This window comes from Homo sapiens, chromosome 10 (genome assembly GCF_000001405.40).
Source record: "Homo sapiens chromosome 10, GRCh38.p14 Primary Assembly".
Classification (NCBI taxonomy): domain Eukaryota; kingdom Metazoa; phylum Chordata; class Mammalia; order Primates; family Hominidae; genus Homo; species Homo sapiens.
In genome coordinates this window covers 26,736,230-26,760,478 of record NC_000010.11, presented here as the reverse complement: position 1 = coordinate 26,760,478, position 24,249 = coordinate 26,736,230, and the positions used below count along the sequence as shown (strand labels likewise).

At 36.9% G+C, this 24,249-nt stretch overlaps 2 protein-coding genes across 31 annotated transcripts in view, besides 2 other annotated features; one reads left to right on the top strand and one right to left on the bottom strand.

Moving 5' to 3' along the window:
* Positions 1–13,883, top strand: part of ABI1 (abl interactor 1) — a 114,363-nt gene extending 100,480 nt beyond the window's left edge. For 5 of the 25 annotated variants that reach the window (NR_145410.2, NM_001410909.1, XM_047424404.1 and 2 more), the window contains 4 exons: positions 1,244–1,417; positions 4,738–4,824; positions 8,696–8,881; positions 11,734–13,883. Coding sequence is in view for 24 of the 25 variants with exons in the window: in NM_001410909.1 (NP_001397838.1) it covers positions 1,244–1,417; positions 4,738–4,824; positions 8,696–8,881; positions 11,734–11,909 (623 nt within the window). In the remaining variant the exon portion in view is untranslated. Of the gene's footprint in view, positions 1–1,240; positions 1,418–4,737; positions 4,825–8,695; positions 8,882–11,733 lie in introns of all 25 variants that reach the window. The other 20 variants (NM_001348030.2, XM_047424405.1, NM_001012751.3 and 17 more) reach the window with 5 other exon arrangements.
* Positions 4,672–4,731: an enhancer, noted in NCBI's record as "active region_3172". NCBI's record gives its function as "activates an Ori minimal core promoter by ATAC-STARR-seq in GM12878 lymphoblastoid cells {active_cell/tissue: GM12878}" and the evidence as "EXISTENCE:reporter gene assay evidence [ECO:0000049][PMID:35858748]".
* Positions 4,822–4,941: an enhancer, noted in NCBI's record as "active region_3171". NCBI's record gives its function as "activates an Ori minimal core promoter by ATAC-STARR-seq in GM12878 lymphoblastoid cells {active_cell/tissue: GM12878}" and the evidence as "EXISTENCE:reporter gene assay evidence [ECO:0000049][PMID:35858748]".
* Positions 13,681–24,249, bottom strand: part of PDSS1 (decaprenyl diphosphate synthase subunit 1) — a 49,098-nt gene continuing 38,529 nt past the window's right edge. For 5 of the 6 annotated variants that reach the window (NM_001321979.2, NM_001321978.2, NM_014317.5 and 2 more), the window contains 2 exons: positions 17,902–17,982; positions 13,681–14,146 (listed from right to left, as the gene is read on the bottom strand). In NM_001321979.2, the coding sequence (NP_001308908.1) occupies positions 14,006–14,146; positions 17,902–17,982 (222 nt within the window). In that variant the 3' untranslated portion in view covers positions 13,681–14,005. Of the gene's footprint in view, positions 14,147–17,901; positions 17,983–19,215; positions 19,835–24,249 lie in introns of those variants that run through there. The other variant, XM_024447922.2, reaches the window with a different exon arrangement.

Genomic DNA, 24,249 nt, shown 5'->3' with positions numbered 1-24,249 from the left:
ATAATTGGTGACTGCCTATGACTTGGGAGTTCCAAAATGTTAGATCAGCACTTCTCTTAATGAACAACCTCTGCTGTATGGTTTTATCTGATACCTTGTGTGACCTCTAAGAAGGATTAGACAACTGAATGAAGATAAACTAGGACGCTGGCTTTTTACTTACTCTGTCATTGTTTGTTGTTTAGATGGGGCAAGGAAAATAATAATAATCCCAAAGTTAACTTTGGAAAGTATAGTTAACTTTAGAGGCTTTGAACTCTATTAACATTTTAAATATGAAACTTTTGAAATGTTGGGAAAGATGACACTTAATACAATGTTAAGTATTAATATTTTCATCAGTTTCGATATTAACTGATGAAAATATATGAGCATGCTAATTTTTTTTTTTTTTTTAAAAGCAGATTCTTTGGATGTACTATGAAAAAGAAGCCCTCCAGGCATGGAGAAAGAGAATAGATTTGCTAAACAAAACTACCTTAAAATGCCATATTTTATAGAGTCAAAAAATTTTCTGCTTCTGTCAGTTATAAAAATTTAATAGGGAAAATGTATGTTAATCTTAAAACTTTGGAGATCTACAACAAATCTGACATTACATGAAAGTGCTTTGAAACGAGAAATGGCACATTTCTTAAAAATGATTTTACTTAATATGTATTGATACTAATAACTGCTAATTCAATAAAAACTCAAAAATATTAGTAAATAAAAATTTATTGTTTAACTTGGATTTGGCTAGATAGAGACTTATCATTATAAGACTCTATCTAGCCAAATCAAAATTCTGAAAGTTTTGTCAGTGGAAAGGAAGAAATTTGTAACTCAGACATGAATCTACTTATATCTAAAGACTGATGCTTCCTACCTCACACCATCTTTTGGTACTTATTTTATTGGAAAGACAATTTACATATAAAAGCTATGTATTTGAAAATGCACAAAAAATTTATATATCATATTAGCAAAGTACCATTTGGGATTATGGTTTTTAAAAGCTTGAGAATATTACTTATTTACTTTTGCAGCTTTCCATGCAGCTGTTTTTTTTTCTCTCTGTTTTTGACTTTGGAGATAAAGTTACTGATTTTTATCTTTACTTTTCTCTTTATTTTGTGCCTTGGTCTTGAAAAAGTAATAAATATTTCTTACTGAGGCCCCCTCCTGCTTTGTTCTGCCATCTAAGGTGATTACAATGCTCAAGTCTCTTTGTTGGTTGCCTTTGACTAATGCTTTTCAGCAGCCCCGGGCTCAGCTCCTGGTTCCCAGTATGGCACAATGACCAGGCAGATATCTCGACACAACTCTACTACTTCTTCGACATCTTCTGGTGGATACAGACGAACTCCCTCTGTGACTGCTCAATTTTCTGCTCAGCCTCATGTTAATGGAGGTCCACTTTATTCTCAAAATTCAAGTAAGCTTGTGCTTTGCAGGCATACAGCAACAGTGGAGCTCCTTTTGAAGGAAATTATTTGAAACTGTTATTCTTGCCAGTGATAGACAACAATTGAAAACCATGATGTTTCATGTTTATTTTTGTTTTAGGATATTAGTCCTTGAATCATACCATTTTAAGAGTAATTGTTTACCACTTTCTCTTCCAAAATTTAGACTTACCAAGTATACTTAACTAAATTTATCGAGACGTGTCTATATTGAGTATACCAAAATTTAACTTTAATATGCGATTTTATTACATAAGTAGAACTAGAGAACAAAAACATTGCAGAAATAAACTGAATTTATTGGCATGTTTGAGACAGCGTAGTAATGGTAAAATTAAAGACACAAACATTGTCAAAGTTTTCCTTCAAATTAATATAATGAAATTGCTGGCTATCACTTTTAAGGTCATTAACGTGTTCAGAAATGAGTTCAAAACCGATTAAAACTGTTTGTGATGCCTGCTTAATTACTCTGTCTTTGAATAATTCTAATGGTGGGAATTTCTTTTGATTTCTTTCTGTTTACCTCAAATTGCACATCTCAACACTAATTGCAGTCAGTGTTTAAAAGCTGGTAAGAAAAGAAAATAGTTTTAGCATATAATGTTAGGAAGTTAGAATAGTGTAGGGTAGTCATTAATATCACTTTCCATATTAAGATGTTCAATGCAAAAAGGAAAAAAAACAAAATTAGAAATGAACCTGTTGTCCACTGTTTGCTTTTAGCTTAAAAAGTTGTGCCCACTGGGCATAGAATGAGACAAGCTTTCCTACATGGCTTTTGTGGCTCTTTCTAGAGCCACATGTTATTTTTGTTTATATAAAAACACTTAATACTCAGTGAATTCTCCATATTTACATAGGAGGTTGCTTTAAGTTCTTTTTATTTATAATGAATGACCTGTATATGTATTTTAAAGCAGAGCTAGGGGAAAGTTTTTTTTTTTTTTTTTTTTTTTTTTGAGACAGAGTTTCACTCTTGTCGCCCAGGCTGGAGTGCAGTGGCGCGATCTCGGTCCACTGCAACCTCACCCTCCCAGGATCAAGCGATTCTCCTGCCTCAGCCACCTGAGTAGCTGGGATTACAGGCGCCTGCCACTACACCTAGCCAATTTTTGTATTTTTAGAAGGGACAGCATTTCACCATGTTGGCCAGGCTGGTCTCGAACTCCTGATCTCAGGTGATCCACCCACCTCAGCCTCCCAAAGTGGTGGGATTACAGGCGTGAGCCACTGAAAGTTCTCATTAGTTTTTTGTTTAAATTTTAAACATAAATTATGTTATAGCAAAAATTCCTAAGAATTGAAAACCACTTTATCAGAAATATCAAAATTCACAAATAATCCCAAAATTTATATAGCTTTTTTTCCAGACTAAAATATTAAAGCTACTGAGAAGTGTTAAACTTCACTAAATAGGATTTTACCTAACATTTGGTATCAAAAGGTAGCCAGTGTCTGTCTAAATATTCCAGATTATCTAATAATTCACTTCACTTGTTTCATCAACTTTATTTTTTTCATATTCTGAATTTTTAGATCCCATCTTTTTGTGTATTATTTTTCTTTTCCCCACTTAGACATTTAATTTACTCTGCAAATAGGATTTTTGTGACTTTTTTATATAATACATAGTTTTATAGTTTTATTTTAGCAATGCTTGTGTGGATTATTTTCAAACCGTATACTTTAATTAATGACCACATTCTTTTGAATATTGGAAAGCAAATTTGGCCTCAGATTTTAAATAAATTATTATGTTTTGTCAAATTAATTATCCTTCAATCTGAGTTACTGTTGGTGTTGTAGTAGTAGTAGTAGTAGTACGTGAATGTTTTTAGTGTTTTGATGTGCACATTTTCCCTTCTGTCTAAATGTAGTAATGATTAGTATCTTCACAGCATAGCTTTTCTTTTTCATTACATACTAACCAGCATGGCTAGTTACTAAGAGTTGTTTCTAAACACTTTTTTAGGTTTGTGAGAGTTTTTTGTTTTTTAAGTCAAAACCTCTAACCTTTTATTTAGGAGCCTTCTATAGAGTATTAGAATGAAATAGGATTGCTTTCATAGTGAATTGAATGTTATCTTTAGCTATACAATGAATATTAATGCACATAATTGCTTTGTTACTTCTTTGAACACTGAACTTCTTTCAAATTTTTATGCTTACCAACAGAATTTGCATGTTGGATTAATTGAAACAACCTTTTGATTAATCCTTGGTAACCAATAAATTGTTTTTCTCTATCAATTTAGTGTTACTACTTGGTGACTACCGATAGACTAAATTTTGCTATCTAGTCCTACTGACTTTTTCTAAGCAATCTTTGGCAATTACTGTCTTGTTAAAGTGAGACAAAGTCACAAACATATGAATGTTTACTTCTAGTGTATGTTATAATTTTTAATACATGAGTATTTGGTATTAATTTCCTGTCAATTATGTCATCTCCACAAATGCATATGAATGTGTTTCAAGCTATCCAATGAGTTGTTAAAAATTACTTTAATGCAAAGAACTACGTATTTTAACTTATTGGAGATCAGGTTTCCTTTTTCAGAACAGTGATGAAAAGGTCACTTTTGAGATATCCCATGAAACTCTGACTGATTAACATGATATATTCCCTTGTAAATTTAGGACTGATATTTTTAAACATAAAATTGCCAACTTAAAAAAATAACAACCTTGTTTTACAAACAAGAGTTTTTCCTGGAGAGCTGTGTGTGAATTTAGATATATAATAAGAACTGTCTTTAAAGGAAACCTGTGATTAATATTTTTATTGATATATGAAATAAATAGCTATTATATATTTGTTTTATTTATTTGGGTCCTAATTTACAACATTACCTTAAAGCTAGACAAACCTGTTATAGCTATGGCAAAGACACAATATTCTGGAAACCTATGTAGGTATTTCATTGTTACCTATTTTAGAAGTCTTTCCTTAGAATTTGAAAATTTTATTTTACTAAAGTGAATGTGATGGTAAATTTAAATCCTCCCCAAACAATGTAACATTAGGATTGAATTAAGTATATTTGTTCTTTTATAAAATTAATTAATTGGCTAAGCACAACTTGGCCTTTAGGTTTGCTTGTGGGAAATGTACTCCAAGGTTCTGCAGGTTTTTGTTTTGTTTTTTGTTTTGTTTTGTTTCATTTGCAAACTGTTCTTTGCATACTTATGTTTGTGGTCCTTGTAACTGACTTCTGCTTTTTGTTTGTTTCCTTTTCTTTCCTTTATCTGTTTTACTTCCCCCATACTGTGTTGTTGCTACCAGTTTCTATTGCTCCACCCCCTCCCCCTATGCCTCAGTTGACTCCACAGATACCTCTCACAGGCTTCGTGGCCAGGGTGCAGGAAAACAGTAAGTTTGGAAAAACTGAGCTATGGAAGAGTAGAGGCTGTCTCCTTATAGCATGCATGGCTGACGATGAGTCATCGTTTTCCTTACTTTTATTGAGAAGCTAATCTTGAAAATAGGTGCAGACATGTTACTGAAACTGAAGAGCACGGTCTTCAGTTTTTTCTCTTTGTGTGCATGGTTACTGACCCATATAAATTTCAAAGCTGCAATTTTCTTATGTCTTTACATGATCCTAAAACAGGAGATCTGATCTTTACATATTCTTAAGGAAAGAATAATCAAACACAAAAATTCAAATTATATGGAAACTTTTAGCTTCTAACAGTTACTAGAATTAGAAGACATTTTTAATTCTAATAAATTTATCAAGAGATAGGTAGATATACTGTAAGATTAAATTTAATATGAAATTGGGGCAGATTTTCCCCCCTTAATTTCAAAATTTTAGGGAAAGCTTTGTAGCCTCAGATTTTTGTACATACATGATATTGAACCTACGTAAAGGTTCATTGTTAGGATAAGATTGAATGACCAGGAATAAGTAAATTACATTCATGCTATCCATTTCAGTGTGAGTGATAAGCAATTTAGCATCCTTTTCACATTTTGGCTACATCCAGGCCCACGAAGATTGTTCCTGAATATGAAAATCAGTTAACTTTTTTAGATCTTCTCTCGAATGAAGTTCAGGGATTTTTTTTTGTGGGGGGGGAGAAGTTATTTTGGATATATGGCTTTAATCAGGATAGACTAGTTTATATTACTGCCTGATTACTTTTGAAATTCCAGAAGATGTGTAATCCTAACTGCATGATCACAGTGAATCTTATATAAAGTGAAAAATACCACTATTACTGAATTATAATATGCTAGAAAAGCTGTTGATGGTAATGTGGTCTATTTTTAATTTACTTCATTTGGACCATCACCATGAAAATAAATCTCAGGATGGTTTGAACAAATGAATAACCCACTTGCCCAGCCTATCCTCCAAGAAAATATATTGTGGCAAATTCCATTCTTCAGCTTTTGCTGACCCTGTTGTGTTATTCTCCCCATTCCCTCCCTCCTGCCAGTCAAATATTTGTGTACCCGATGTTACGTGCCAGACTCCGGGAAGAATACCAGCAGTTTAAGACAAAAGCCCCTTCCTTCAGGAAATGTGTGATCCAATTGGCTTGTTATAAAATGTTGTTTTGTAATGTTGAAATTTCTGAGTGTAAGCCATCCTTACTGTTAATATGTGTTTGAAAACCCTAATGTGTGCAAACATTTAAAAAGATATGAATAATCAGCCTGGGCAACATGGCAAGACTGTCTGTACAAAAAAATAAAAAATTAGCCAGGTGTAGTGGCATGTGCCTGTAGTTCCAGCTACCAGGTAGGCTGAGGCTGGGGCATCATTTGAGTCCAGGACGTCAAGGCTGCAGTGAGCCATGATCACACTACTGCACTCCAGCCTAGACGTGCAAAAATAAATAGAGTGCAAAAATAAATAAATGCATGGATGGATGGATAGATAGATGTGAATCTTATTTTTAAAAATAAATGAGTAAGGGTAAACTGCTGGTCATTAATGCTGCAGAGTTTAAAAACAAGGCCAGTGTAAACTTTTGAACTGCCATATCAGTAAGAATTATTAGGAAATAATTTAAAATAGCCATAATGAACATCAGTTTTGTGGGTCCAAAGTGACTGACTAGCTATTTGGTAAATCTTTTCTTTATATAGAAATCCAGTATTAGTGTACATTATTCTAGGCATGTGTGGTCTTTGCTAAAGAGGCTCTTGGTACTATATTAGTTCTTTTTACCAAACATATGAACTTGGGTCAGTCAGTGATTCTCCTTGTGCCACAGATTCCCTAACTTTATTTGGTTTCTGTTTTCTTTGAAAGTGTGTTAGGAGGATTGGTGTTAAAATATGTATCAGTACTTTAAACGTTTTATGAAGTACAAATTTTATGTGTTCTCTTAAATACCCAGTTTCTTATGACACTCAAAGTGGGTGATAATGAATGCATGTAGCAGCCTATTAATAAGTATTTCAGTTTAAGATATGAGCCTCTAAAAAAGTCAGCAGTGTGTTTACATCTCTTTATGATTATGCAGAGAATTAGATTAACCAAGACTTCCTTCGCCATAATTTGAAGATAAGACATGTAGATTTACAGCAGTTGGACATAAAGACAATTTCGTGAAAACATTAAACTAATGTGATAAATCAAGAGTAAATGCAAGGTACCAACATACATAATTTACACATTAAGCCAAATTAAGGATATGAACTATGGCTGTTTGATGTCAGGAGGGGTCTGTACCCATTTTCCTCTCCTCAATAATATTAAAAAGTTTTATAGAGGAAGTTATGGGCAAAGATAAAATGGATCTAGGAATGAGGCAGAAAAATTAATTGTAGACCCGTTTGATAGGTGTTATAGTGAGCATTACCATATAGGGTTTGTTTTCTAATAGCCCTTTCATCCCTCGAGAGGATAAAATAGAAATCACAGCATTGAAGTGGTTATGGAAATAGGGTCATTATCTGCAAATATTTTAAACCTGGAGCCCTTGGTTGTATATTCAGCACATTATTCCAAGGAGGGTAGACTAAACGTTTAAACCTATATGACAGATAGATTATGGCTGATTTCTTTGATCACGTAAATAGCCCCAGAAATTGGCATTTGATTTAGTATGTTTGTATTATGAACTTCTCCCCTGCAGGAATTATGTAATTCCTGTATCAATTTGTATGAAAACATTTTCATATGTCTTTTGAACTTTTAAAGAAATTTATTGATCAGAAATTTAAGTTAAGCATTAATTGGGTTCCAGCTTTGAATTCTTTAAATTTTAGGAGCATTTTTACCTGATATTATACTAGTTCATTGAACAGAGCTCTAGCCTGACATTTTCCCATTTCCCTGTTTACACCTTTGACTGTGTAAAGCACACACATATATACTGACCACGACCATCTAGAGTTTGAGGTATGAGTCATTTTTATTGTTTTGTTTACTGTAAGTTCCTTTTTGTTTGTTTTTTTTAATTACATCTTCAACACTTTATGTTTAAATCTTAATTGTTGATGTATTCTTAGAAAATCGAATCTTTAGGATCTAGGCTTTCCCTCATCCCGTGCTTATGTTTTACTAGCAATAATGCAAAATTTTAGCTTGCTTTCTACATTAAAAAACTAATTATGAATATAAACCTTTTTAAAAATACTCAATTAGATTTTCTACTGGTTGGGGATTCTTTTTCCATTTTTTCAACTTGTAAAATGTAAATAACAGAGTAGAAAATCTGCACACAGAAGCAGACCTAATACTACCAACTTTACTTTTCTCTTCATCAAAACAAACAATAATCAACAAAGAAACAAAAATCTGTCCACAGGAGACTGAATTTTTAGGGAACCAAAGCTGTTTCAAGCCAAAATCAGGGGCATGAATGAGCAGAGTGAAGAGTGATCAAACCATTAACGTAATGTTACTCATATCATTACTGCAGTCCAAATGACAAAAGTGACATAGATTTATTTTAGATTGTTAACATTTGTCCCGATCTGAACCTTGGAATAAGGAAACTACTCCTATAATCCTTATAAAAAGAGACATTGTCTCCTAACACCCTGCATTCATTAATTTGTAGTACTTCCAGATACCCTTATTTTTAGCTCATTTTGTTATTTTTAAATGATTCTTGAGTAGCATAAACTTTAACACACCAAGCTTTTATTTCTAATCATTGCATGTTTTATTATAGTGCATGCTGTACTTAAGTTAGAGCTTTCTTAAATTCTGTTAACTTATAAGTTTCCATCTAGACTTATTTTTGATTCAAATCAATCATATGAATCTTTTTAGTTGCTGATAGTCCAACTCCACCGCCACCACCTCCACCAGATGACATTCCCATGTTTGATGACTCTCCACCTCCCCCACCACCACCACCAGTGGATTATGAAGATGAGGAGGCTGCAGTAGTTCAGTATAATGATCCATATGCAGATGGGGATCCTGCTTGGGCCCCCAAGAATTATATTGAGAAAGGTAAGGTACAGTCATTGAGTTGATGTGAAGGAAAATAACCTAATTGTAGAAATTTAGAACTATAAAGAACATCTAATCCAATGTTTCTCAGCCTTTTAAACTGCCTTACCAACCAAGATGATTTACTTAAACCTTACTTCCTAAGTTTTGTATTATTCCCAGTGTACAGGGGGATTCTTTCTTTGTATTTTAAATAAAAGTTGCAGTGTTAGATTTGCTTTCAAACTACATATGCGTTCAGCTGAAGATTAACTTGCTGGACGGCATTTTATAGATGAAACAGCTAAGGCACAAAAATGGAGTTATATGTAATTAGTAAAGATTTTAAAAGTTCTGTCAAGCTCTATTGATTACCTTTCATATCTAAATATGGACGGTCCCTGATTTATGATGGTTCACTTTAGGATCTTTTCAACTTTATGATGGTACAAAAATGATATGCATTCAGTATGCTTCTCAACTTATGATGGAGCTTTGTCTGGATAAACCTGTTATAAGTAAAAAAAATACAAGTTGAAAATGTACTTTCAATTTACAATATTTTCCACTAAACAGTGGGTTTATTGGGACATAACCCCATTGTATGTAAGTGGAGGAGCATCGGTCTTTAAAAATATATTAGTACTATCATGAGAAAAGCCTCAATTAAGGTTTCAATTAGGTGATTTTATAAAACACAAGAGAAATTATCAGGATTGTATTTCATGAAATTATGAACTACTCTAAAGTCTAATTTACCTATAGTACCCGATATTCACTATAATTATCTATTAAGAAATATAGGTGGGGAAGAAACAAATCCTGTTTCTAGTTTTTATTTTTTCATCCAGTTCTGTGCTATTTTAAAATCTGTATTTCTTTTTGCAGAAGTGGGAATCAATTAAAAATAAAATCTGTATTTCTATAGAGTTCTGAAAAATGCTTGTGATTTAGTTGAACACTTTTGGTTGCCTTTGAAATATATTTCCTTCTATTGACTTTACTGGGTTAACGGACTTTAAGCTAGTAGATGTAGCTCTTGAGACCAGCAGCATTCTTTCCTGCCCAAGTTTTGGATATGTGGCAAAAGTAAATTTGTTTTCCTTTTATATTTTTTTATTTTTTGAGATGGAGTCTTGCTCTGTCTCCCAGGCTGGAGTGCAGTGGTGCAATCTCGGCTCACTGCAACTTCCGCCTCCCAGGTTCCAGCAATTCTCCTGCCTCAGCCTCTTAAGTAGCTGGGATTACAGGTGCCCGCCACCACGCCCAGCTAACTTTTGTATTTTTAGTAGAGATGGGGTTTTGCCATGTTGGCCAGGCTGGTCTTGAACTCCTGACCTCAAGTGATCCGCCCATCTCAGCCTCCCTGTGCTGGGATTACCGGCATGAGCCGAGCGTGGCCTTATATTTTTAAACAGTAAGTAATTTACATATTGTTAAGAAAGTCTTGAATATTCTACTTGAGATTCCCATATACCTTCAAATAGAGAGCTGTTGTTACTTACGAGGATGATAAACTTGAGTGACCTTGAATTGTGTTTTTACCCATATTTTCTTACTTGGTGAAGCCAATTAACTGTGAAAATGGGACCATATTTATATAAGTTGACAAATTTGGAATGATATATTGGGTAATATATTTGATAGTAGAGGAGGATTAAAAAGTATATTCCCAAGAACTAGGGGTGAGCACACTTTGTTTGGTATAAAGCCAGATAGTAAATATTTTAAACTTTGCTGGCTATACAGTCTCTGTCACAACTACTCAGTCCTGCTATTGTAGCGTAAAAGCAGACATAGACAATACATGAGTAAGTAGATGTGGCCATATTGCAATAAACCTTTATTTACAAAAATTGCGTGGTTTGGATTTGTCCATGGGCCATTTTATACATTTTGGATTACTTTCTCTTTCCATAGCAGTTTGCAAAGGAAGTGAATATAGGCTAAGCATCCCTATCTGAAAGTCCCAAATTCAAAATGCTCCAAAATCCAAAATGAGTTCCAACATGATGCCGCAAGTGGAAAATTCCACACCTGACCTCACGTGATGGGTCACAATCAAAATGCAGGCACATGACACAGTTTATTCAGTGTTCCCAAGGGAAAAATAAAATTACCTTCAGACTATGTGTATAAGGTGTATGTGAAACAAAAATGAGTTTTGTGTTTAGACTTGGGTCCCATCTCCAAGATGTCTCATTACGCATATGTAAAATTCCAAAATCTGAAAATCCCAAATCCAAAGCAGTTCTGATCCCAGGCATTTCAGATAAGGGTTACTCAACCTGTATCTTGAACTGAAAAAATTACAGACACCACAGAATTGCAAAGTTCTCTAAGTATTAATTAAAATCCTTTAAAGTAAGTAAATATTCTTTAAAAAAAAATCTGGGGACAGTCCCTTAAATTAGCATGGGTCCTTGAATGAGTAGGATGTGATTTACCTTCCAGTAACTGTGTTTTTTCAAATTAGATAGCTTGGATTGTTACCTGGTTTACTGAATGGCTATGCAGCTTTCTTTGCCTGATAATTATTTTGAAAAGCCGGTGCTTTGCATATGATAGGCACTTGGTATTTGAATGAATTGAAACATCTAATAAATTCTAAAATTCAGAGAGCTTTCTTAAAGTGATTGACAGAACCTATTGATGTATTCAGTCTAATCAGATTGTCATTTGGCTCTAAGATTAAGCCAATGATTTAAGTACATGGTTGGCCACTGACCTACTTATATTGATAGATACAAAAATTAAGAAATCTTCATAAAAATAGTTTTGCTGTGCTATATATTTAATTGTCTTTGTCTTAAAATTCAAGTAAATTTTGGATATAGTGCACTCATGTGATATTTCAACTGTTTTTTCCATAGTTGTTGCAATATATGATTATACAAAAGACAAGGATGATGAGCTGTCATTTATGGAGGGTGCAATCATTTATGTTATAAAGAAGAATGATGATGGCTGGTATGAAGGAGTCTGCAATCGAGTGACTGGTCTGTTCCCTGGGAACTATGTTGAATCAATCATGCACTATACTGATTAATTTTTTTTTTTCTTTTGAAGTAGATTCTTATTACTCAGTCATACTGTGGGACTATTATGGTTAACAGAACTGTCTTAATATGTTTTAAAATGTGCCCATATTTTCAGAACATGCTGTTTTATTGGTAAATTGAATGTCTACCTGTAAGCATAAATCTTTGAGGCAGTTTATGTATTGCTGAATAGCAATTTATACAAGAAGCTGTCCATAACTGATTATGCTTATGTACTTACTTACACATTTTTAACTTTATGACCAGCCTAAATATTCTGGGGGAAGTGGGGTATAATATTTAACGAATCATGATTCAGATTGTACCATTACATGTTTCAGTGCAGCATGGTTACTAACGCTATGTCAGACTAATATTAAAATCAGAAAATTTAAATGCTGGTGCTGGTCAGACTTTTTTTGTTAGATTCTCTCATTTAAAAAAAATACTGTTTGTTTAAAGCATGCATAAAAATTTATGTATTGAAATATACTTAAAAATTCAAGATGCTTCCCATTTGTGTAATATTTACCTGGAGGACTCGTACTTAGGTGTCTTAACGTGAATTGAGTCTCCAAGGTCTCCATGTGAAACAAGCAAAAAGAGAATTATCTGTAATGTTGTAATTTGTACCTAAGTTTTTTAATGAGTGAAATTTGCATTATAAACTTTTTCCATTCATAAATACATAAGTGAACCAAAGGTTTTTGTCCTTTCCTTCACTGATTTGCTTTAAAAAAAATAAAAGATAATGATTTATTGCAGAATTATGATTCTATTTTCTCAATATGTTAACTTGGAAAAAAATTTTAGCCTTATCTTAATCTGTCCCAACAGCAATGTGACGGATTTTTGCAGATTCAAAATCTGCAATGGTTATTTACAAGTCAATCTACTGAATTCCTTTTTTAAATAATCTTTTGAAACTAAGAAAATGTGTCAAATTGTGTGCATTCATTCTGTAGGTAAAATTCTTAAGGATTGCCATGTCAGTCCTTCAGTTGTACAGTGAACTGTTGTACACTGGTTCAATGAAAGGAAGTTAAAAGTACCTTTTACATATTGTAAAAGTGGATACAGTTGATTTGTGAGTAGGCACTCTTTAATCCATTACCTGGCACTAGCAACATTAGAATTTTAAAATAAAATAATTGGGAAAGAAGGTGGGTCATGTATTAATCAGTGAACAGAGATTTACCTAACCAACAGACTTGGATTGTCTTTTGACATAATCAAAATGCAACACATGCACTTTGTGTGTCTCCTCTTAATTGAAGGGAGGGCTGAGGGATGTTTTCTCTTCTTGTCTTGTGTATAATTCTCTATTGCTTAGGATATTAAAGTAGAGCACTCAAGTGTGGGTTTCTGTGTTATTGAGGATTTGTTTGGAATTCAAATTACAGTTATGTACTGGATGCTACAGACTTATAACAGCATAGTGAATGGTAAGACTAGTGCAAAACAGTTATTTCTGAAAATTAAAGACCATTATTGCTACCAAATCAATGTGACTATTTCATATGCATTTTGCCTTTGTTAATTTTAAACAAACAAAGTATCATTAGTGATCAGCTAGCTACCTTCTACTTTCCATTTTTCAAGTGGATTGTTCTCTTAATTTGTATATAACCTGTTGTCTAAATTTTATGTACAGTCTTTTATAATAAACCATTCTCCTATATGAAATTTTGGATACTGTTAAAATATAACTCATGTGGACTTCAATGCAGACTTCACATTTTTCTGACCTTTACTCCTACGGTAAATCAAGACAAACCATTTGAATTTTAACATTGGTTATTTATTTGTGTAATGGCCTTACATGTGGATATTAACAGTGTAAACAATACCACATATAACCATCAAGATACCTTGATTATAATTTATAGGACTAGAATGACAGATTCAGGTGGTTTATTAATTACATTTAAAAAGTTTTCTGAAAAAACTTTTGCAATAAAAAAAAATAAATTGCCCATCAATAAGTTTGATATCTTTTAAAATGATTTTTGGTTATCTGCACATGAAGCAAACAAAGTGTATTCCACAAAATTCTTTAGGCACAGTCTGGTAAGATAGCTGCCAGAAAGAACAGAAAGAGTTGTCATTTATCTCTTGTGAGTACAATTTCTGAAAGCTGAATGAGGGCATCTCTTTCTGGGGATGGTCGAAGTTTACTGATCTCTCTTATTGCTTCATGGCAGTACTGCTGGGCGAGGTAGGTTGTTTGTTGCACACCATCACTCTATAAGATACAGAACAAAACAGAACAGATGCCTGTCACTGACTGAATCAGCGTTTTAACTTCCTGCTATAATAAATGAACACATAGTTTTGAGATCAGATGAGCTGAGGATTACAGTTAACAGTCAAACTACATCTCTAATGTTCTTTTCCCGACTCATAGTGCTAACTTCCTTTAGGCCTTTTTCTCATATTGAAGCAAATTTTTATTCTATTAGCATGCAAAGCAACTAGCTCATCAATATTACATAGTCATTCGTTTTCCCCTAATTTTTACTTATTAGAATTTCTCAGAAGTTCTATGTACAAAGTATCTTTATACAACATTTTTAAATGTAAAAAAAACACAAGTAAAACTTACTTAAAAAATAAAGAATAAAGACATAACAAAATGAAAGTACAGAGGGTTTATGATGAAAATCAGCTTCCTTTCTTCCAAAGGCACTCACTTTATCCAATAGTTTTTTTTTTCTTTTTTCTTTTTTTTTGAGACAGGGTCTCACTCTGTCACCCAAGCTAGAGTGCATGACATGATCTTGGCTCACTGCAACCTTCACCTCCCGGGCTCAAGCGATTGTCCTGCCTCAGCCTCCCAAGTAGCTGGGACTACAGGCGCGTGCCACCATGCCCGGCTAATTTTTGTATTTTTAGTAGAGATGGGGTTTTGTCATGTTGGCCAGGCTGGTCTCGAACTCCTGGCCTCAAGTGATCTGCCTGCCTTGGCCTCCCAAAGTGCTGGGATTACAGGTGTGAGCCACCGTGCCCAGCCTAGTTTTTATTTCTTGATTACCAATTTTAGTTATTACCTGTTACCTTTTTGTTAAGATGAGGGTTTAGCCCACCCACAATGTGCCGCCTCATCATCACACTGCTGTCTTTAGTTGTTTTGTTGATTACTTCTGTTAGGTAGCATCAACTTCAGATTTTATCTTCTATGAGCTCTTGTCCTTTCCTTTAACTATACTGTTTGTTAGACTATAGATATTTACATCCTATTCTATAACCATGTTTTAAAATATTGGTTCTTTCTAAAAGCCAAATACTAATAAAGTATCATTTCTATGATGTAAAAATATTTATTGCAGAATCAAGTCATATACTATAATTCTATTTCCTTCTCCATGGCTCATGATCCCTCTGACATTTATTTATTTTTTTTAAATTTTTTTTGAGATGGAATCTTGCTCTGTCGCCCAGGCTGGAATGCAGTGGCGTGATCTTGGCTCACTGCAACCTCTGCCTCCCAGGCTCAAGGGATTCTCGTGCCTCAGCCTCCTAAGTAGCTAGGATTATAGGCGTGCACTACCACGCCTGGCTAATGTTTGTATTTTTAGTAGAGACGGGGTTTCACCATGTTGGCCAGGCTGGTCTCAAACTCCTGACCTCAAGTGATCCACCCACCTTGGCCTCCCAAAATGCTGCGATTACAGGTGTGAGCCACTGCGCCCGGACCCCTCTGACATTTAGAAATGGAATATTCCTAACATTGTGGTTGAAATACATCTGATTTTCTATACCAGTTGCTCAAAACATGACATATTTTAGTTTGCTGTTCCTTTTTGTACAGAAGCCTGCCTTCTCTCAGTGTTTTCCACACGTTTTCCTGAAGTACATCTGCAAATAACCTACCCAGAAAGTGTTCATGGGGACTGAGCGCGGTGGCTCACGCCTGTATTCCCAGCACTTTGGGAGGCCGAGGCGGGCGGATCACGACGTCAAGATCGAGACCATAATGGCCAACATGGTGAAACCCCGTCTCCACTAAAAATACAAAAATCAGCCGGGCGTGGTGGCGGGTGCCTGTAGTCCCAGCTACTCGGGAGGCTGAGGCAGGAGAATCACTTGAACCCGGGAGGCGGAGGTTGCAGTGAGCCAAGATTGTGCCACTGCAACTTGAGCCTGGCAACAGAGCAAGACTCAGTCTAAGAAAAATACAATAAAATAAAATAATAAAATAAAAATAAAATAAAATAGTGTTTATGGGAAGTCAACATTTTAGTCCTGATGTGTGGTGACTTTCTTTTGCCTTCGGATTTAATGGATCCTAGGTTTAAAATGTTTCATCCTCACTTGGAAGACCTTCCTCCACTGCCTTCTAGTATCCAGTATCTTTGCTATTCATTGAGCCAGTTTTGACACCATTTTCTAGCATAAGTGACCACTTTTTTGTTTATTTTCTTCCTGAAATACTTGTTACATGATGGTACTGGTCCTTGTAGCTCTTGTTATTTTTCACTATTTCCCCCTTTCTGTTTTACACTTGGGAGGATTTCCACAATTTCACATTGCAGCCCTTCTTTGGAGTTTGTTCTTCAGTCATTTTCAGTTTCTTAGAACTTGCTCTTACTCATTTAAAAAGTATGATCCTGTACTGTTTTGTGAATGTGGTATCTTTTTGGATCCTCCTATTTACGTTTTTCCTGTTTTTTTTTCCCCCTGTTATTTTGGTCCCACTCTTTTGTTCAGCAAGCTTTAGTCAACTTATTTGTAACCCTGAGTTGTCTATTCATATTTAATGAGGGAATAGGCCTAGAAGCTCTGTGGGTGAACAGGGAGCTAGAATTTTGGAGAATTTGTTCAGAGAACATTCCCGTGGATTTTTGTTTCCTCTAAATGTGTTTCTGGCTAGGATTGCTGGAACTTTGCTATTTTCCATAGGTGCTACTATTAACTTCCCTCTTTTCAGTTCCACTTCCCACTCTAGCTTTCAATAATACCATTATTTCTGAAGCCAGAACCTCTCCCAGGGAATATTGACTTCTTTATCAGCTCCAGCTCCCTGCCATAGTTTTTAATAGTACGTTTAAACCATTCTCCAAAAAAGGCAGTAACCCGTAGTGAATAATGGGGCTTAACAGTATAGTCAGTTAAGAGAGAAAAATAACCTTTTAGGGGTTGGGGTTGCTTTTTAAATTTTTTAAGAATCTGGAAGGTAATTATTTGGAAGTCTTTCAGGTACTACACTAAGTACAGATCTCATGCCACACTTGCTTTGTAATGATTTTTTGCTCACTCCGACTCATCCAGTAGATCTGTTGGCTGCAAATGACAGTGAACTTGGAAATGGCTCATTCTCACAGGAGTCAGTCACCAAAACTCAAGTCATGCAGAGAGATCTGGCTTCCACAGAAAAGTTCTGAAGATACGTGGCAATATATTTAAAGCAAGCCACTAGCCCCTGAATGGGGTTAAATGGTTCTCCCTTTAAAAGAAAAACATTTATATAAATGTATAGTTTGCCTGTGTTGGTTTATTGTTTTCAATGATCATTTCTTTAGTCACACTTTTATAACAGGTAGGATGGACTAGGAAAGCCCAATTATGAGTAGACTATTGCAGCAGTCCAGCAGCAGCCCGGATGGGGTCATGGATGGGGACATGGATGAGGCTGGAGCCGAGGCTGGGTGACTGGGGGCCCAGTGATTCTGTTGATGGACACAGGGAAGGCTGGTTCCACACCACTGGGTTTCAACACTAACAGTTCACCACAATCACTTAGGTACCTTTTAAAAGATATTAATGTCTGTGCCTTACCTAAGACCAGTTAAAACAAAACATTTCGTAAGTAGTCTAGAAGAGAAATGAAAATAAAAAATCAGAAAAATGAGTTTTCCCTTCTCAGTTTTTGTCACATCAAGAGTTGACCAAACAGTCTTGTATCTATAATTTAATGTTTAGTTAATGTTACATTTTTGGATTAAAGGATTTTGCCACGTTGTTCCTGCTGCTGCCTTTTTTTTAAAAAAACAGTCTTACCTGTAGTACATACTGTCGAGCTCTGTCTACATCTCCAGGCAAACTGAACCGTCGCATGATCATAGCATTCATTTCTGGGAACTAACAAAAAAAGAGAGAAAATCTGAGAAAATCTATTTATTTCTCTTGGGAGAAACAAGTGTTCTAACACTAGTTTGTAACAATAGGAAATAACAAGAAACAACAAAAATGAAACTAAGTGTCTAGATGATGTGGGGGAGCAGTAAACTGTGGCAACAAAAGCTGAGCTAAGAGACATCCACCGTCTATGCCTAGGCACTGTGGTGGTGTATGGGAGGAGAAGACATTAGTCCTTGTTTATTCTGATGTTTTATCCTAGTCCAACACTGAGTTAAGAGAGGCAGGAGGAATAAAGTACATCTTTAAAACAACATGGTTCTGGCCAGGCGTGGTGGCACACGCCTGTAATCCCAGCACTCTGGGAGGCCGAGGTGGGCGGATCACCTGAGGTCAGGAGTTTGAGACTAGCCTGGCCAACATGGTGAAACTCCGTTTCTACTAAAAATACAAAAAATTAGCCGGGCATGATGGTGCACGCCTGTAATCCCAGCTACTCGGGAGGCTGAGGCAAGAGAATTGCTTGAACCTGGGGAGGTGGAGGTTGCAGTGAGCCGAGATTGCGCCATTGCACTCTACCTTGGACAACGAGTGAAACTCCGTCTCAAATAAAAAATAAAAAACAACATGGTTGTTAAACTTTAAATCGTATCAGGATCACCTGTACTGCTTGTGGGGCCTCTCCCCCAGTTTCTGATTGAGTAGGGATGGAGCCTTGGCATGCATTTCTAACAGATGCCACCATCTAACAGGTGACACCAGTATCTCTGGTCTCTGCCAACATTTTGAGAGTCACTGGCCTAGGATGAGGATGGGAATTAGGCATTCTACTCTAAGTTCTAAATTGATTACCAACTGAAAGCTACTGAGGTTTCTGAGCAGAGGGCATTATGTGCAGAGCTCTGCCTTAAGCAGTGTGTAGAGTGGATCTGAGCAGCGGTGCATGACATTGACTGCATACTGGGATCAGCTGGGGAGTGTTTTTTGTTTTTTTGTTGTTTTTCCCCCCCTCCTGTGATGGAGTCTTGCTCCATCACACAGGCTGGAGTGGTGCAGTGGCACGACCTCGGCTCACCACAACCTCTGCCTCCCGGGTTCAAGCAATTCTCTGCCTCAGCCTCCTGAGTAGCTGGGACTACAGGTGTGCGCCACCACACCCGGCTAATTTTGTACTGTTAGTAGAGACAGGGTTTTGCCATATTGGCCAGGCTGGTCTCAAACTCCTGACCTCAGGTGATCTGTCCACCTCAGCCTCCCCAAGTGCTGGGATTACAGGTGTGAGCCACCGCGCCTGGCCTGGGGAGGTATAAATACAGTTGCCTAGATCCTGTTCCCAGAGACTTTGGTTATACTGGCTTGGGGTTTAGCCTGGGCACCAAGATTTTCAACCTCCTCCCGCCCACCCTGGTATTTTTAATGTGCCGCCAAGGTTGAGAACCATGGAATTAAGAGTCAGAGGTAGACAGAACAAACAGGTTACTAGAGTAGGTTATAAAAAAGACCTGAATTAAGATGATAGCAAGAAGAGAGAGAAAAAATAGGTAAAAAAGGAACTGAAGGTAAAATCGATATTCTACAATACTTAGCAACTATTTAGAAGTGTCACCATTAACAGAATACAAAAGCCAGGACACCAAATCACTTCACTTCCTAGATCCGAACTCTAGTCTTGGTTTGGCTACCAGCTGCCACAGCCGAGTGACTTCCTTAGCCCCTGGGGTCTTAGGCTTCTCATCTTCATGACTGGAAGCCCTTGAGCTCTAACAGTCTATGGCTCCACGGAAGAGGTAAGATGTGTTTGATTTTGGCCACGTCAGTGCTTACAGCAGCTGCCAGTTTTTCCCTGGCAGTGAACCTGAAGGATGAAATAAGTTGTCCTGTAACCATGACCATGGTATTAGTAATCCTAGAAGAAAAAATAGGGCATACATAGAAAAGCCGCAGCCAAGTGATCACAGACAAAGAAATAATTTTTTCAGACCAAAATATGTGTCAGAACAAAGCTCTAAACATGTGGAGACTGCTAATGTGTTTACAGAATTTATAGAGCCAGCAACTGGTTAGTTCTTATGAAAACCAGTAATTTCCTTTAGTTACTGGGTCTTTTAAGAAGAAAACAAGCTACTAGAAATCAGGAAAGCCCAAATCAACTTCTACGGTAAAAAAGCCAAATCAAGTAGGTTTTAGTTTTGTTATGAGACTTGTTCTGTTGCCCAGGCTGGAGTGCAGTGGTGCAATCGTAGCTCACTGCAGCCTCAAACTCCTATAGGTTCAAGTGATCCTCTGCCTCAGCCTCCCGAGTAGCTGGGACTACAGGCACGCACCTGGCTAATTTTTTAATTTTTTTTTTTTTTTTTTGAGATGGAGTTTCGCTCTGTCATCCAGGCTGGAGTGCAGTGGCACGATCTTGGCTGACTGCAACCTCCGCCTCCCGGGTTCAAATGATTCCTCTGCCTCAGCCTCCCGAGTACTTGGGACTACAGGCGCAAGCCACCACGCCCAGCTAATTTTTTGTATTTTTAGTAGAGATGGAGTTTTACCGTAGCCAGGATGGTCTTGATCTCCTAACCTCGTGATCTGCCCACCTCGGCCTCCCAAAGTGCCTCCCAAAGTGGGATTACAGGCGTGAGCCACCGTGCCTGGCCAATTTTTAAATTTTTTATAGAGATGGGGTCTTGCCTTGTTGCCTAGGCTGGTGTCAAACTCCTGGCCTCAAGTGATCCTCTCGCCTGGGCCTCCCAGAGTGCTGGGATTATGGACGTGAGCCACTACACACAGCCTGTTTTAGTTTTTTAATACCACATACCAATACTGGATATCTAGAAGGTTTTATCGTTGACACTGATGTGATTCTCTCGTAGGCATCTGGTGACATTACCTTGTTTATGATGTATAAGCTTTTTCTACAGTACCAGCAAGTGTGGTAAGATATGCTGATTGGGTGTTTTCACTGATGCTTTTACTATAAAAAGCATTGAGAAAGCAAAATTTGAAAAAAATATTTGCATTGAGTGACTACATCCTTCCTTCCAAACATGTCATGTGTGCAATTTTAATATGCAAAATATCAAACTCTTCCCCGGGCACTCCCCAGTCCCCTTAATGTGTATGTGGAAAAGAAAAGAGAAACACAGCAGGAAGAACAGTTGCCTGCAGATTTAGTGACAAATAAAAATTCTGTTTGCTCAGGTGCTGTTTTTAAGAGTAGGAAAACCACCTGTGGATAAATCGGGTTGTAACTCTGTGAAACCCATCCATAAACTAAACTGCTAAGGTGATGAGTATGAGTCTACCCAAACGAAACTGGGTAACACTAAGGCACCAACTAGTCACCACGATAGCATAAGGCCTGTGCAGCTGGTGCAGGGGCTGGTGATGGCATTTGGAAACGTGGCTACAACTGACGTTTGGGTCTAGTGACTTATCAAATAAGGAAGAGAAGCAGAAGAAAGGAAAGATTTGGTTTTTTTAAAAAAGATATTTGAAAATTAAAAAAGTTTCACCAGAGAAAGTAAAACACTTCCATTTTGTTTCTGAAGCTTTCAAAATCCAATTAACATGAGGTTTTTATTCTTAAAGAGAATATGTACACATACGTACATGGGAGGACGCTGTCATCCCCTGGGACTTCTCCAGAAATCCCCAAAACTCTTTTTAAATCCTCTGAACCAACTGTTATCAGGAAACCCCTTAAGAGAGATGTTAAAAATAAAGGAATTCCAAAAGACAGGGAGTTTCTGTCAAGTGCTGGCTGGAGTAAACTCCAAGACAACCCACCACACCAAATTAAAAAGGAAAAGGTGGTTTCCCAAGAATGCTTGTCCTGGTCCAGTGTTCACAAATGGAAAAGTTCAAAGACCATCTCATCAGCAAACAAAACTCACCTACCAAAGGGAAAGGATTACAGACGTCTTAGAACTACTCCACCAAGTAGGTATGTTGTTTACAATAGCAAAGACATGACACAGAGATGATTCTTTGAGTATCGTCAGTGCCCAGGTGGGTTAGTTACCTGCTCTGTGGGAAGGCCTGTGTGGTATCATAGCTACTAACTTCTCAGCATTACCAGTGGCAATAACACTATGTATGATGTAATAAAATGAATACTGGTCTTAGACTTGTTCAGTTCCCTGCTGTGCCATTTACCAGATGTTTAATTTTGGCGAGGTTTGGGCATCAGTTTCTTACTTGCAGAATAAACACCATAATATCTACCACAAAGAGGAGTTGTGAGATTAGAGATAATGTATGAAAGAATCCTTTGTAAACTAAAAACACATTTTCATTAAGTGGAGATATTGCATATTCTTACGTTATTTTTGGAACTTGTTTTTACCTGAATTAATCTTAGTCCCATATATCTTTTGACACATTTCTTGCTAAGAATCTCTTGTTTTACAGTGTATTCCACAAAAGAGCCTAACCTTGCTGTTTTATTAGAAGGCAACTTATAAATACATACTTGGCTAACTTCTGGCCCATGTGCCACAAGACAGAAACATCAGTCTACTTTTGAAATGAGTCCTGTCCAGAGTCACTTCCTGCTTGGACTCCATTCTGTGTTCCCTTTTCTGAGGCTGCAATGTGCCTTTTCAACTCACTGCCTTATGGGCAGATGAGAACACTGCTGTCTGGTGAGCATGAGTAGGTGCCTCATGACTGGGATTTCCCAGCAAAGCACACATAAAACCATGGCTTCGGGTACAGTAATCTTTTTTTTTCCTTTTGCTTGCTTTTTTTAACCAGCCTTTTTTTTTTTTTTTTTTTTTTTTTTTTTGAGACGGAGTCTCACTCTGTCACCCAGGCTGGAGTGCAGTCTCGGCTCACTGCAACCTCTGCCTCCCAGGTTCAAGGATTCTCCTTCCTTGGCCTCCCGAGTAGCTGGGATTACAGGCATGCACCACCAGGCCCGGCTAATTTTTGTATTTTTAGTAGAGACGGGGTTTCCACCATATTGGTCAGGCTGGTCTTGAACTCCTGACCTCATAATCCAACTGCCTCAGCCTCCCAAAGTGCTGGGATTACAGGCATGAGCCACCGCCTAACCAGCATTTTTCAGTCTCTTGTAGATTACTGACAGATACTATGCAGAGGTCCATTTCCCCTTTCCCCCACTATATATGAAAGCAGAGATAGCCATTACTCCTTTGTGTGTGTAGGGGAAAGTAAGTTAGTTTCTTCTGAAATATATTCAGAGTGAAACACAGTCCGAAGAGGCCAGCCTCCTCTCACCCAGTCACCTTAAGGTTTAAGTAGGACTCAACCGGTAACTTAGTATCCTGGGGTTCATAACAAGTACTTAACAATTTGAAGATTTTTACAAATAGAGCAACCAAAACTTTCTCATAGACTTCTCCAGGGAAAAAGGCTTTTTCCTTTTATCCTGATAATCTGAGCCTAGGTAAAGGAATCTTTACCAAGCTAGCTGGATTTCAGCACACTCAGTCCATCTTGCTTTCCTTCACTCATGTTTACTAACAAGTATCTGAGAAGTAATGTTCGCAGTTATATAGGTTACTGGTAGCCAGTGCCTCATTTTTCTAATCCCCAGCATAACACCTACATGGCTCAAATGTTCCTCACTCTTGCCTTAATGTACAAAAGGAGGTTTTATAAATTTTTGTCAAAACTGGGCACATGTATTATACTCTTTGATTTTGGGCTGGCAAGTAAGCCTCATTGGGAGAGAGGACCTATTTACAGCATACCTTTCACTTCTTACCTCAGCCTCCAAAGTTTGAGAGGATGGAAGCCTTGTAATAATGAGGGTGGGTGTTCCTACCGAGTACCCCAACATCTCCATTCATAGCCTTAGCAAGCTGCCAAAGTAGCCTGGTCCAGCCACCCAGAACGTCAGCCTCCCCTGGGAAGAATCATGCTGCCAATGGCTATGCTAGATAGTGGGTGAAAGATGACCTTTCCTCTCTCCAATCAGAAACCCACCAAAAGCAAGGGCCGTGGTTTCTGTATCACAGTGGAATCACTGAATTTTATGGAGGACATGACTGACCTTTGTAAACGTGAAGACAGAATAGAGGCAAAATCTCTGAAAGACCAAAAGTTACTATAATTTTACACCAAAGAGCTAATGTTGAATTTCATGGCACGGTGATGAACATCTTACTGCTTTGCAACATAACAAATTAAATACTACTAAGATGAAAATCTATTAACGAGATGTTCCAACACCAGCTAATGTCTCACTTATTTCAAGTAACATTCAGTACAGCCACAAGCCATGTGGCAGGGTCTGGAGGAGGCTGTGAGAAT